We start from the raw sequence: 15,539 nt of genomic DNA, 5'->3' as shown, positions 1-15,539 counted from the left end.
CTCATAATTTAGCTTCCACTTACAAGTGAAACATACGGTATTTGGTTTTCTGTTCCTGTGTTAGTTTGCTAAGGATAAATGGCCTCAAGCTCCATCCATATCCCTGCAAAGGACATGATCTCATTATTTTCCATGGCTGCATAGTATTCCATGATGCATATGTGCCAAATTTTCTTCATCTAGTCTATCATTGATGGACTTTTAGGTTTATTTCTTGTCTCTGCTGTTGTGAATAGTACTGCAATGAACATACATGTGCATGTATCTTCATAATATAACAATTTGTATCCCTTTGGGTCAAATGGTATTTCTGCTTTTAGGTCTTCGAATATTCACCATACTGTCTTCCACAATGGTTGAACTAATTTACACTCCTACCAACAGTGTATAAGCATTCCTTTTTCTTCACAACCTTGCCAGGATCTGTTATTTTTTGACTTTTTAAAAATAGCCATTCTGACTAGTGTAAGATGGTATCTCATTGTGGTTTTGATTTTCATTTCTCTAATGATCAGTGATGTTGAGCTTCTTTTCGTACATTTTTTTGCCACATGCTCTTCTTTTGGAAAGTGTCTGTTCATGTCCTTTGCCCACTTTTTAATGGGGTCTTTTGGTTTTTTATTGTAAATTTGCTCAATATACTAATAGAAACTTGATATTAGACCTGTGTTGGCTGCATAATTTGGAAAATGTTTTGACCATTCTATAGGTTGTCTGTTTACTCTGTTGACAGTTTCTTTTGATGTGCAGAAGCTCTTTAGTTTAATTAGATCCTGTTTGTCAATTTTTTCTTTTGTTGCGATTTCTTTTGGCATATTTGTCATGAAATCTGTGCCCGTGACTATATCTTGATGGTATTTCCCAGGTTGTCTTCCAGAGTTGTTTTACTTTTGGGTTTTACATTTAAGTCTTTAATCCATCTTGATTTAATATTTTATATGGTGTAAGGATGGCATTTCAATCATCTGCATATGGTAGCCAGTTATCCCAGCACCATTTATTGAATAGGGAATCCTTTCCCCATTGCTTTTGTCAGGTTTTTCAAAATCCAGATAGTTGTAGGTGTGTAGTCTTATTTCTGGGCTCTCTATTCTGTTCCATTGGTTTATGTGTCTGTTTTTCTACCAGCACCATGCTGTTTTGGTTACTGTTAACCCTTCAGTATAATTTGAAGTCCAGTAGTGTGATGCTTCCAGCTTTGTTTTTTTGCCTAGGATAGCCTTGGCTAATTGGGCTCTTTTTTGATTCCATACAAATTTTAAAATAGTTTTCTGTAGTTCTTTGATGAATGTTGATAATACTTTAATAGGAATAGCATTAAATCTATAAATTGCTTTGAACAGTATGGCCATTTTAATGATATTAGTTATTCCTATTTATGAGCATGAAATATTTTTCCATTTGATTGTGTAATCTCTGATTTCTTTGAGGAGTATTTTGTAGTTCTCCTTGCAGAGATCTTTCCCTGGTGAACTGCATTCCTAAGTATTTTATTGTTTTTATGGCATGCCACATACATTTTAAAAGAATCTAAATCCACCATCAAGAGGCACTATCCTGTTTCACATGTAATGCAGTTGCCTAATAATACAGCACTCTCAATTACTTTCTCTCATTCCAGTTGATACTATGGTCATTCATTTTGTGTATGTTTATGCTATAAGCATCCATTGCATTGTTATCATTCCTTTGCTCAGTTTTTTAGATAAATTATGAAAAAATAAAATAATAATATTTGTATTTGTTCATGTTCTGACACTCTTGTTTTCTTTGTGTAGATCCAAATTTTGGACCTAAACCATTTTATTTCTGCCTGAAGATCTTCTTTTAAAAGGTCTTTCAAGGAAGATCAACAAGAAATTGATTTTTCTAAGTTTTCAGAAAAGAGAACTTCTAAATTTATCTTTCACAACTTTGTTATCAGAAAAGGGAGTTTTTAAATTTCTCTTTCACTTTTGTAACAGCCTTATTAAGATATAATCTACATGCATTTCAGCCTTTTAAACTGTCCAATTTACTAGTGTTTTTTAAACAGAATTGTGCAACTATCCCCAGTATCTGCAACCGTCACCAGTATCTAATTCTAGAAAAAAATTATCACCTTGATTAGAAACCCATACCCATTAACTTCTCCTTCACTCTTCAGTGAAATTTCTACTGAATATAGAATTTTGGTTCACAGATTTTTCCTTTTCTTTCAATATTGTAAATATATCACTCTGTTCTCTTCTTGTTTGCATGCTTTCTACTGAGAAGTTTCCTGTAATCCTTATTTTTATTTCTCTATAGGTAAGGTGTCCTCTGCTCCCTCAATCTACCCCAACCTCCCAAAACCTTTGAGACTCTCTCTTTCTCCTTTATTTTCAGCAGACACAGCAGTGGCAGTGTCACAGAGGAGAGGGTCACCTAATATTCTGATTGGTTCTTGGTGTTTTATTGGAACTGTGTCTTAGAGGTTTGGTCTTCAGAAGTGTTTCTGTTTCTTGTCCCCAAGAGAACCTTCTCACCTTCTGTTCTCTAGTCTCTTAACCACTGCAGTCTATTTATTTGAAGCTCTCTCCTCCGCTAACAATGCTTTTATTCATTTATTTCTCATTAGCTGATGCAGAAAATCTGGATTGGAATGCAGTTCTCTTTTCTCAGGTGTAAAAATTGCCTAACTGCTAATGTCATTACCTATGGAAACAAGGCCTTCTTTAGGGAGAAGAGTCATGATAGGAATGCTTTTCCTCCCCCCATGAGGGTGATGTATTGAGATTTCTAGGGTTTCTAGAATTCTCTCTGCCATAACCTGGTGGAGCTCCTAGAGGGAAAGTCTGCAGGGTGTCCAACCACCAATACTTCAGCGCTAGGGTATTCTCATGTTCACTTCCATACACTCATCCTCCAGCAATTCATCAAGATTATCATATATGATATTCTACCAGCTTTAAGCGTCTAGTGGCTTCTGTCCTAGGTAATCAAATCTTGAGTACACTATCTCTCTCTAGATGCATTTGACACTCAATATTTTGTGGTAGTGGTTTTTTCCTTTTCCCTCAGTTCTCTAATAAAACTAATAAAATTATTGTGTTTGTCTAGCATTTCCTTATTGTAAGGACAGGAGTAATAACTTCCAGGTTCTTTACATGTCAGGGATAAACTTGGAAATCTTCATCACTACCAGTTTTAAAACATTTGGAAAGTTTCTTCTGAAGCTCATGACACTCAAGTACTTTAAATATAGAATGCTTATAATTTTTTGATTGAATGATCTATTGGAGAGAGATAAAACTTGTGTACCCACATTTGTATGCCTGTTTTTACTCCTTGAATTTGTCGTCTCCAATTTTGATTGAATTTTATATAACTCTGTTTGTATTTCAATTTTAGCCTTGTTATACTTTCCTGACTCTGTATCTTAATTTTAAATTAAAAATATCTACGCACATTAATTAGTCTTCATGATACTCACAGGAAGAACATTCATGTCAGAGAACTCACATGCTATTGATTACTCAGCTTATAGATTGACTGCACGTAGGGTACCTGTAGTTTCATGAATTGTTGCTGGGGTAGTAAAGTCATGTTAACTACATGCTAGTTACGTTCAAGAAATTTCCTATATATGAGGAAGATATTATTATATCTGGCTTGAAAAATAAAATCAACCATTTATTGAAGACAGTATCTTTTGTACATTGTGTCTTCTTAGCAGCTTGTCAAAAATTAGATGACCTTATATTACTGGGTTTACTTCTGGTTCCTCTATTCTGTCCCACTGTCCTATATATCTATTTTTAAGCCAATAATGTGTTGTTTTGATTACTATAGCTGTGTAATATAATTTGGAATCAGGAAGTGTCATGCCTCCAACTTTGTTTTTCATTCCCAAGATTGTTTGGGCTAGTCAGTATCTTCTGTGGTTCCATTTAATTTTTTTTCAATTTATTTGAAAAATTAAACTGTTGATAGGGATTGCATTAAATCTGTATGTTGTTTTGAGCAATAGGAACATTTTAACAATATTAATTATTTTAATTCACAAATATGAGATATCTTTTTATTAATTTGTGTCTTTAAATTTCTTTTATCAATGCTTATAGTTTCCATGCTTTGTATTGTACATAGCTTTCACTTCACTTCTTTGTTTTAATTTATCTCTTAGTGTTTTATTCTTTCTAATGCTATTTTAAATGGGATTGTTTTCTTGATTTATTTTTCAAATAGATTTTTGTAGGTGTAAATAAAAGCAACTAATTTTGTATGTTGGTTTGGTATCCTGCTATTCTGATGAATTCATTTATTTGTGTAACAACTTTTTTGTGTGGAGTCTTTAGGGTTTTCTACACATTTGTAAACAGGGTTAATTTTACTTTTTCCTTTCTGATTTGTATCCCCTTTATTTCTTCTTCTTGTCTGATTGCTCTTGCTGTTACTTCCCTAACTATGTTAAATAGAATAGCATGGGCATCTTTGCCACGGCCCAGACTTTAGAGAAAAAGCTTTCAGTTTTTTTCTATTGATTACTATGATAGCTGTGGGTTTTTCATAAACAATCTTTATTAGGTTGAAGACAAATTCCTCCTATACTTGTTTTTTTGAGAATGTTTATCATTAAAGGATGCTAAACTTTGTCAAATGCTTTCTCTGCATCAGTTATGATCATCATGTGGCTTAAAAAAATCTTTCATTCTGTTAAAATGGCACATCACATTGATTGTGTATTTTAAACCACCCTTGTATCTCAGGAATAAATCCTATTTGGTTTTAGTGTATACTTTTTTGATATGTTGTTGAACTTTATTTGCTAGTATTTTATTGAGAATTTTTGCATATACGTTAATCAGAGATACTGACCCATAGTTTTCTTTACTTGCGATACCTTTGTCAGGCTTTGTTATCCAAATAGTGCTGGCTGAGTTTGGAAGCATTCAGTCTATTTCTACTTTTTGGAAGTGTTTAAGACGGTTTGATATTAATTTTTCTATTAATGTTTGATAGACTTCAGCTATGAAGCCATCTGGTACTGGAATTTTCTTTGATGGAAGGTTTTTGATTACTACTTCAATCTCTATTTGCTATTGGTTTGTTTAAGCTTTCTATTTCTTCTTGATTTATTCTTTGTAGATTGTATATTTCCAGTAATTCATCCATTTCCCCTAGGTTATCCAATTTATTGTCATATAATTGTTCATAATAGTCCTTTGTGACTTTTTATGTTTTTCCATCTTTTAAATAGGAATAATGGCAATATATATTTTATAAGGTTGTTTTAAAAATTTAAAAATTTCTATAAAAAAGCTTGAACCATAGCAAATATTACCTGTTACTTTTATGGCTTATTAAAGTGCTTCTTTCATAATAGGTGCTCATTTGCTACATGTTAGTTAATTAGCTGATGCCATAGATTAAACTGTAATAATCAAAATGATTAAAAGAGACAGACAGACTGTAGATAGAAATGAGCAAGATAATAATTAAAAGTAATAAAATGATTGTTTTTGGCTTAGATATGTGGAAAAATCTAATGTTCTACTTGATTGCTAAAAATAAATCAAGTGTACCCATGGTTTTTACATAGGTAAAGAACATTAAAATGTTTTAAAATAATACTGACTTTGAGATTACAATTATGTATTTGTCTATATAGATACATATGGTATATACCATGTATATATTCATCTGTGAGTATCATAATATATTTTAAATCAATATGAAAAGTAGAATGCCTACCGCAATCTATGATCACAACTGTCAGAAAAATCATGTCAACCATTTATTGTCTGAAAGAATTAAGCTTATTTAGACTCATACATATTTTCATAAATGGCGTACATTCTGGAACTAATAAAGAAAAAATACAATAATTAAATTTAGACTCAAAGTGAAGCAAAACTTTCACAATTTGAGATACCAGTGTTGATTATGCTGGCCTACAGTGAGCAGCTACTCAGTTTTCAGTCAAAGGAGAGAAGACTGTTGGTTATCTGATTCCATTTGTTTATTTAAAAAATTGATAATAAAAAGTAAAGCTAAATTTCCTCAAATGTGGAGCAATAGTTTCTTGTTGCTCCTGTACTAAACGGAACAGGTAGTTAATAGGCAAATGACTTTCTGCCCTCAGTGTTAGAATTATATTTCCTGTTTTCACTCTCGTGCATATGAATTTCTCCTTTCTAGTTTTAATAGTGTGGGATATTTTTGCAACTTTTAGTCTACTACACCCATATCATTCCCAACAGACTTTCTTATTCTGTATATAATAGGTAGCATTCTAATCAGTGAAGAGTTCATTTTTTTTCAATTCATTAATATGGCAAATGTGTTCTGCCTGTAACTCTCTTTAGTGAAATGTTGGTATTTGAAAATGAGAAAAAATTTAAATGACCTTCCAGCTCAGTAGACAGCCTCCCAAGCTGATGTGCTAGAAAAATTTGATAGCTAGCATAGTTCTTCCATTTGTGGGCTACCTAGGCTTCTCAGGCAATAGACAGGAAATTAGGACACAATTAAATGAATATGTGGAGACAATTTAAAGTTGAAAATGGAAAATCTCAATGGATAAGCACTGGCTTAAAATTGGCAGGTCAATACTAGAAAAAAACGAAATTTGAGGTAATGCATTAGGGAACAGCATATAAGTAATATGTATAACATATAAAATTTATATATTATATATATTACTTTTTTAATCTATGAAACATGTAGAATTATATTTATTTTACTTCTCTCTCAGGTTATTAAAGACAATTAAGAATTTCGATAATAAGTAAAAGAATTTGGTTATTAGTATATTATTATGTATGTGTGTGAGATGTAATAAACGGTAAATGTCATGTGAGCTATGAACTATTTTCATGGGACAGAATTCCATGTACACATGATTTTATGTACAATTTTAGCAAGACTGTGGATCATTTGAAGCCTATTTCTGAAGCCTCATTGGTCCCAAAAAGCCTAAGTTAAGAAATCTCACAAAAACTGTAGCGTGTGGCTAAGAACCTCACCTCCTTATCTATTATCCGCTCTTTGAACAACTGTGCTGTGTAGGCAGAGTAGAACTTTTTTTTTTTTTTTTTTTTTTTTTTTTGGTTAGTAAGTATATTTTAGCATTTTGCTGGCTGAAAATACCCAACATTATCATGTCAAGTAGGGCTGTTTAAGCACTGGCTTTTCTTTCAAGGTATGTACCTATGATTCAATGCCCTAACTTTTCACTAAAATAATAACTGAATGAGTCACAAGCTATTCAAGGGCAAAAGACTCTCTCTCATTCTCAACATACAGAGTATGGTATACAAAAAGTCACCTTCAAATGGAGGATAAATGGAGGGTCACCATATACATGCAAAGTCATCCACCAATGCAGTTATTTTTAACAAAAAATGAATAATAATTTTACCAAAAAATGAAGAATATTTTTGGGCAGTTGGGGTAGTAGTGAGAAGGGGGAACATGTCTATAGGATCAGGTTAATCCCTGTATAGATAAAAACTGAGAAACGCGTGTGACTGAAAATCTGTATAAAACTTCTAAGTCCATTGTAACACATAGGACAGGAAAAAAAAACAGTAATTTCAAGGCAGACATTCATTATGATCTCATCATCTCTATCCTGCACTATTTTCTAAAATTTCTTAAATTGTCTACCTGCCTTCAGGGAGGAAATTGAGGCTTAGAAAATATGAGATATTCATCCAAAGTCACACATTTATTCTGAGCAAAGAGGGGGTCCTTAGAGTTTTATCAGATATTTCAAAAAAATACAGGAATTCTGTGGATGTATATCCATTACTGAATATGGATTTAGAGTAAATTGCTATAAAACAATAGTAGCTTTTTAACAGATTTGAGAAATATCTTTGACAAACATTGATCTTCCCTCTTTCCCTCATCCCTCAGTAATGGCTATCTCCATTCAGAACTACTCCAATAGACTCATCATTGTGTCAGAAGAAAATAAAAGGATGTTGCCTAATGGCAATGAAATATAACAAAATTTAATAGGAAATTGAAAATATCCTTATGAACAAATGTAAGATTTTAGTTAAAAAGGCATGTTGTTGTTGGCATTACAATATTTTATATTTTTTCTATGAAGAAAATATTCCTTTTGATTTGTGACCAAAACAAAACATTAACTGAAGAGCAGTCTTGGACCCACACTTAGATATTTCAGACAGTTTCCTTTAACTTCTGTTATGTTGAAAACTTTTAGAAACTATTTTTATAGATCAAATGAGGACCACTTTGAAAAGCTCAGCTTGATTAAGAACAGACAACACACATTTAGAGAATAAAAGGAATCACTCACTACTTTTGTGAAATTCTTCAGGGACTTCACTCCAGGTAGACAAATGTGGGAAAGGAGTTAAAGAGGATTTTAAACTTAGATGTTTGGAAAGCCTTTGACAAAATTCTTTACAGTCATGTAAGATCAGTGGAAAGGATCAATGAAACTAATAGTAAATTGGCTCACTATTCCGAACAATGATTTATGGAAAGGAAACAATGATACTAAAAATAGGTTTTTGTGTCCAAACCAATTTTTAAAATTCTGCCTCTTCATAGGTCAGAAAAAAATGTACAACTTTCTAAAAAAAGTAAAGTAGATTTTTGTTTGATATGTGTTTAAGCATATATTTTACAATAAATGAAATAAAGTGAAAGTTTATATAACATTTAGCTGATGGCAAATAGTGTGTGTAATCACATTTGGGATTTAGGTTTTTAAAATGGTAGCAGATTTTAGGTAAAATATCTTAAGAATATATTGATACATACACAGAAAATATTAAACAAGTACTAAGAATTGGTCACTCAAAACCTCATATTTAACATCATCGCAAGAACTTTCATTACTTATTTTACTATAATTTCAATACCATGAATACAATTCCCTTTGTTGTTTGAGACAAAAGAAAGTCATCTGATTTTAACAATAATAAGAAATCGAGAGCCAAGTCACAGGGATTCTGTCTGTCTGGTTTAATGGTTTTACTGCAACAAACATAACAGTACCATACCAGAAAGTAATTCCTCAATAAATCTCTGAATAAATAAATAAGTGATCAAACAAACAGGATGAAATAGCACTACAATTGGAATGAATCATTGAAATATCAATCCCTGGCATTAGAGATTAATTGGCTTTACCATTTGCTCTCTCTCTACCTATTTCATATTAATATTACATAATCATTTATATTAGGATGATTCAGTTGTGGAAGACAAAAAAGCACAAACAAAAAAAAAATACTATTCTATTTTTAAGCACCCCTTCACAAGAAGGAAGGAGAGTGCTCACTGGCCAGGGACCAACTCACAACAGCTCCTTATACAACAAAATAACCACATTTTTTTTAAAAAATGAATAAACCTTTCAAGAGTTATTTTTGGATAAGCAGTGGAGTAAAGGCCTCCAAATTCTCAGACAGAGACTATGAGACATGTGTCACTCAGAAGGGTATGGAAAAATAAACCTTCACATTTTAAGTACAAAAAAAATGGTTATTTGGAGGACTACTAATAATATATGTCTGAAAAAAGTCACAGCTATGCGCCACTTTATATATCACTGAGGAAATATAAAAAAATTTGAGTCTTTGTCCAGGATAGTAAATATTGAAATTCTATAAAGGAGTTTCAGTATTTAACCAGTAAGTAAATCATTAAAGACTCCTCTTTTTTGTGATGAGATTTTAGAATGTTATATATTTTGTAATGAGAGTGTTACAATTGAAATTATGATGTAATAAAGATAATTCATGTTAAATGCTTTTGTATCTTAGCATACTAGGTATTTTACAGAGTATTTCATGTGCCTTCCCTCATTACTCCTCAAAAAACTCTGTGCAACTATTCCTTTTATTATTCACATGCAACACCTAAACACAAACTGAGCAAGTAAGGTTTGGAAAGGAGATTTATTTTCAACTCCTAACTATGAGCCTATGTTTTTACCCTCTATGCTATACTACATTGACATTTCCTGTTAAAAAGTTAGAGGAAATTAGCACAAAGATCATACCAGCTATATGTGGACTGGTGTAAGCTACACATTTTGATGGACTCTTAAAAGATTCTAATGAAGGATAATATTGCCTTCAAATAGTTATAGCTTTTAAGCGACTTCAAACTATAATGCACATCAGAGGGATTCAGATGAATGGAGAAATCATGATGAAACTTGTGTTCCTACAAAGGTAAAACTACTAGAACAATAATAATGAGCTGGTACATTACATTTCCTGGGAGTCTTAGGGGGAAAAAAACCTCAAAATATAATGTCAACTTTGTTTCGAACTGAGAGTATGAACTTCTGTTTTCCATTCAATTTTTTATTTTTATTTGCTATTATTTTTGACACTAATTATTACATATGCTGTCTCTATTTTCCATTTATTTGTCTTTTTTTATTTTCCACAAAGTTAAATACAATTAAAGTCACATTAATGTAGACGGATGGTATTACTTTAAGATCCTTTCTCTTATTGTCCAGTACAATGATAGAACTGTAGTATCCTCACATAGAAGGGCGTTCTTTCCTCTACCCATCCCAAATACTAAAAGGAACTAGGAAACAGGAGGTAAGATATCAGAGCCAGCTTAAGAAAGAAAGAAAGAAGGAAAGAAAGAAAGAAAGAAAGAAAGAAAGAAAGAAAGAAAGAAAGAAAGAAGGAAGGAAGGAAGGAAGGAAGGAAGGAAGGAAGGAAGGAAGGAAAGAAGGAAGGAAGGAAGGAGGGAAGGAAGGAAGGAAAGGGAAAGAAAGAAAGAAAGAAAGAAAGAAAGAAAGAAAGAAAGAAAGAAAGAAAGAAAGAAGGAAAGAAAGCTTTAACTGTAAAGTTTATCTGCAAAGATATTCTTTTATTTCCAGGTCTCTCTCACAGGCATTATTTCTACCCCCAGTAAAAAGAGGTAGGCATCTAGAATATTTGTTTGCTCATTCATTGATTCATTCACTCATTTTAGTCAAAATGTATTTATTGAGTGGTGATATATGCTTTGCACTATACTAGGTGCTAGGCAGAAAAATGATAGGCAAAAATACATTCACTTTAGGCTCTTTTCATATTTCTAGATGCCTTTAATTATCAGTAGGACTCAAGCAGGATGGTTGGCTTGATATTTGCTGATGCCCATAACAGCATCCCTCAAAAGACATAGTACGCAGTGAAAAAATACAGTTAGTGAGTTCAAAAAGATCTGTTTTTTCTTTTTTTCTTGTGTCTATGTGGTAACTTACCACATGGCCTTAAGAAAAATTTCTAGCTATGCCAGGCTCCAATTTTCTTGCCTCTGAAATAGACATAATTATTATGCCATTTTGTGAATAGTCAGATAAATCATATATATCAAACTTTTTACTTTAATATTACACAGAAGGCAGTGGACAAATGCCTTCACTCAATCCCTCACTCACCTATTTAACAACTATCTCCTAAGTGCCTACGAAGTGCAAGGCACTGTGCTGGCTCTGAACATAAGCAAGTAGGGTGTAAAGATGTGGCATCTGCTCTCTCAGACTCACAGTCAAGTTAAGGAAACAGAGACTCATCATATAACTGCCTCATAAATCATGTTATTCAGATCGTCCTCTATGCTAGTGATTATTTAAGATGTTAGATAGATTAGGAGATAAGGAGTCTACAGGAGAGAAATATGGATTAAGGAAGGTTTTTTAGGAAATGATACGTAATTTGTGACTAAAATACAAGAAATGTGGGGTTATAGCAGATAAAATGTATATATGAAAAGAAATGATGCAGAACATTTTTGTCTCTTAGGTAGCACAGTAATTTTCTATTGCTGCTGTGATAAATTACCACATATTTAGTGGCTTAAAACAACACAGATTTATTATCTTACCATTTTGTAGTTCAGAAGTCTGATGCATCTCTTGCTGTGTTCGAATGTCAAGTGTTGGCAGGAGTGCATTCCTTTCTGGAGGCATTCAGAAAGAGAATTCATTTTTTGTTTTTCTAGCTCCTGGAGGCTGTCCTTGGCTTTCCTTGACTTTTCTTAGCATTCATTTCCCTCTCACCTGCAAAGTCAGCAATGTCAGGTCTACTCTTTCTGATTCTGCCCTTTCTTTGATTCTCCCTTCGGATTACTTTTTCCACTGTTAACAAGCCTTGTGATTATATTGGGCCCACCAGAGCAATCTAGAATAATCTCATTTATTTTAAGGTCAACTAATTAGCAACTTTAATTTTATTTGCAACCTTAATTTCTCTTTGCCATGAAAGGTAACATGAACACGATAAACATGAGTTCTACTGATTTAGATGCAGACATCTTTGGCAGGGGTTGAGGGGAGGAGGAACTATTCTTAAAATTTTAAAAATCCCTGTAACTGTAGTCTAAATAGATTGCAGGAAAAGCACCCTGGACATGGAGTAACTAATTATCAGGCTGTTGCAGTGGTACAAAAAAGGTGATGGTGGCTTGCTCTATGGGAGGAAGTGAAGTAAAAAAAATACAATAAGAGGTTTGGGAAGAGTCAGTTTTGATAATTGAGTTACAGGTGGTGGCTACTGACAGAAAAGAGAGTGTTAAGTATGAATCCCAGGTTTCTGAAACTAGCAGTTGGATGGGAGAAATTTTCATTTTTGAGATACTGACCACTGAAATGCATCTTCTTTTTGGAGAGAATATAGTAAATCCAAATTTGCATGTGTTAAATTGGATGAACCAAATAGATACAATAAAAATGTTATTTGACAATGAAATATGCAGATGTGGAACTTTATTAGTCAGGTTTCTCTAGAGGGACAGAACTAATAGGACAGATGGATAGATAAAGGGGAGTTTATTAAGGAGCATTAACTCACACGATCACAAGGTCACACAATAGGCCCTCTGCAAGCTGAGGAGCAAGGAAGCCAGTTCGAGTCCCAAAGCTGGAGAACTTGGAGTCCGATGTTTGAGGACATCCAGCAAAGGAGAAGCATCCAGCAAAGGAGAAAGATGTAGGCTGGGAGGCTAAGCCTGTCTAATCTCTCCACGTTCTTCTGTCTGCTTTTTATTCTGACCATGCTGGCAGCTGATTAGCTGGTGCCCACCCAGACTGAGGGTGGGTCTGCCTCTCCCAGTCCACTGACTCAAATATTCATCTCTTTTGACAAAAACCTCACAGACACACCTCAGAACACTATTTTGCACGCTTCAATCCAATCAAGTTGAAACCTCAGTATTAAACATCACAGAAACCAAGGATATTAATATGAAAGTTGTCAACATAATGATAATAAACTAAATCTCAAAAATAAATCTGTTCACCTGCAAAGAAGGTAGAGAGTTGAAAGCCGAGAACACGTAGATGCTCTAAATATCTAACAACACTTAAATCATGGGGAGAAGAGTATGAACTTTGAAAAAAGACAGTAATAAGTTGCATATGTATAGGAGAAAGCCAGAAAATGAATATTTAAAAGAGGGAAGACTGCTAAGAGTATAAAATGTTTCAAAGCTCAAGGTAGATGAAGAAAGAAAAATTTGCTGAAAAGGATTTTTTTGGGTAAATTCTACTTACTCTTCCTGTGAGCCAAATGCAATGCTAAATATTAGTTACAAAAAGATGAAAAGAGCATTAAAACCTGACTTAATAAACTCACATGCTAGTGAAAGCAAATCCACCTAAATGTTTATTTTGAACATAAGGTGACAACTGAGATGAAGTTGTACTCATAGGATGCTGTGAGAGTGCAAAAGAGAAGACATGTAGCAAAGGCTAAAGAGGAAACCCACCATGGTTTTTGAAATATTATACAATTTAGGTCAGATGAAGAAAATTATTTCAAGACCAAAGGACCATCATAGGTAAATACATATGAAGAAACTGTGACTGAATTTAAATTGTCAGGAGTTACATTTTCAGATTGACAGAGGTAGGTCACAGTATATAGGACTTCATTCTGAAAGCCACAGAGCTTAAAACTTAATCTTACATGATGGAGAACAACTGACAGATTGTAAAAGTTGCTGTGAAATGAATTAGTGCAGGTATAAAGTGTGGATGGCTTTGAGAAAGTCCATTGTAGTAAGTGGATGTAGGAGGCTCTTGGTATAATCCTAACACAATAATATGAGAGATTTTAAAAGAAAGAAACAGAATCTAGAAATTTTCACAACATAAAAACCAGCAGGATGTGATTAATTGCATTTGGAGAGAAGGAGAAAAGAGATTTAATGTGGCTCTGAATTTTCTGGTTTGGGCAACAAGGTAGAAGATATTAACATTAAATGGAGAGGAAATGAAGGAGGAAGTCAAGGTTATTATGGAGTGAAAAATGAGGACAACTATACAAATGTTCAGTTTAACATTCCTTTGGATTCAGGAATGTTAAAGACAAGTTAGCAATGTCCTGCAAACATGTAGACATCTGTTTCAAGGGAGACAACAGGGTTTGTGACAGGAATAAAAGAGATCCCCCCTGCCAGAATATATATGGCAGGAGAAGAATAATGGGCCGGGTATGGAAACTTTCATGAACACCAGTGTTCAAATAACTGTTGGAGGAAGAAGTAGAAAAAGGCAAGCAGCAAATGGTCAGAGAAACTGGAAGAGGATCAGCAAGAAACGGTGTTTTAAACAGCCCAAGTAGGAAAGAGTTTCAGAAGGAGAGAGAAAGTGATCAGCACTCCTTGAAGAGATATGAGGAGGAGAGACAAAAGAGGTACACAATTCTAAAGCATACTTCTTCTGTCATCCCTATGAGGACCTGAATAGAAAAATGATTTAAATGCTTAATTTGACTGTAAAACAAAACACAATCAAAATACAACAATGACAACAACAAAAACTCTTGGGAAACTCATTATTTTTTAACTAGTAAGTGTTCCAATTATAATAAACAAGCATCTAAGTTGTCAGAAGAGCATCAAGTGTACCATTTGCCAACATTGTATGAGAATAAAAGGATATGGCCCAGGAGACCTGATCAAGTGTTTGCAGAGAATGAGGAAGTTAATGAAGCAAAGGCAGTGGGAGTCTTTTACCTAGATCTCAGCAAGACATTTGATAAATTGTTATATAAGATGCAACAAAGAGAAAAACAAGGATTTTGAATCAATGCTGTAACAAGCTAGGAAAAAAGATGAGTGGATGTGGAGATTTCCAGCAAATGTTAGTAAATTGTGTTTGAAAGAGGAAGCAGCAGGGTTCCTTTGAGCTCAATGCTATTATGCATTCCACTTAATGCCCATAAAACAATTGTGAGAAAAGAACCACAATCAATGTTGGCACTAATTTGAGCCCTTGTTGGCAGCATCAACAGTTGTGATTGACTGTCTAAATTAATTCCAATTAGACTGTGATTCTGTAGACCAGATCATCTTAAATTATAATATTGTGCTTTTTATTTTAAATAGCATTATGGATCCATAATGTAACATAATCAATAACTGTTCTCATTTAATAAACAACTAGAGAACAATGATATGCTTATAAAAATTATAACAGAAGCAAGTATTGAATATGGTTGTCATGTCCTGGGAGTTTGATTCTGGAGAAAGCAAAGGAATCAACTTAAAAGACTATTTCTCAATTTCTCAAA

Source organism: Homo sapiens, chromosome 4 (assembly GCF_000001405.40).
Source record: "Homo sapiens chromosome 4, GRCh38.p14 Primary Assembly".
In the NCBI taxonomy this organism is placed as follows: Eukaryota; Metazoa; Chordata; class Mammalia; order Primates; family Hominidae; genus Homo; species Homo sapiens.
The sequence above is the reverse complement of the archived record's forward strand: the minus strand, read 5'-3'. Positions refer to the sequence as shown.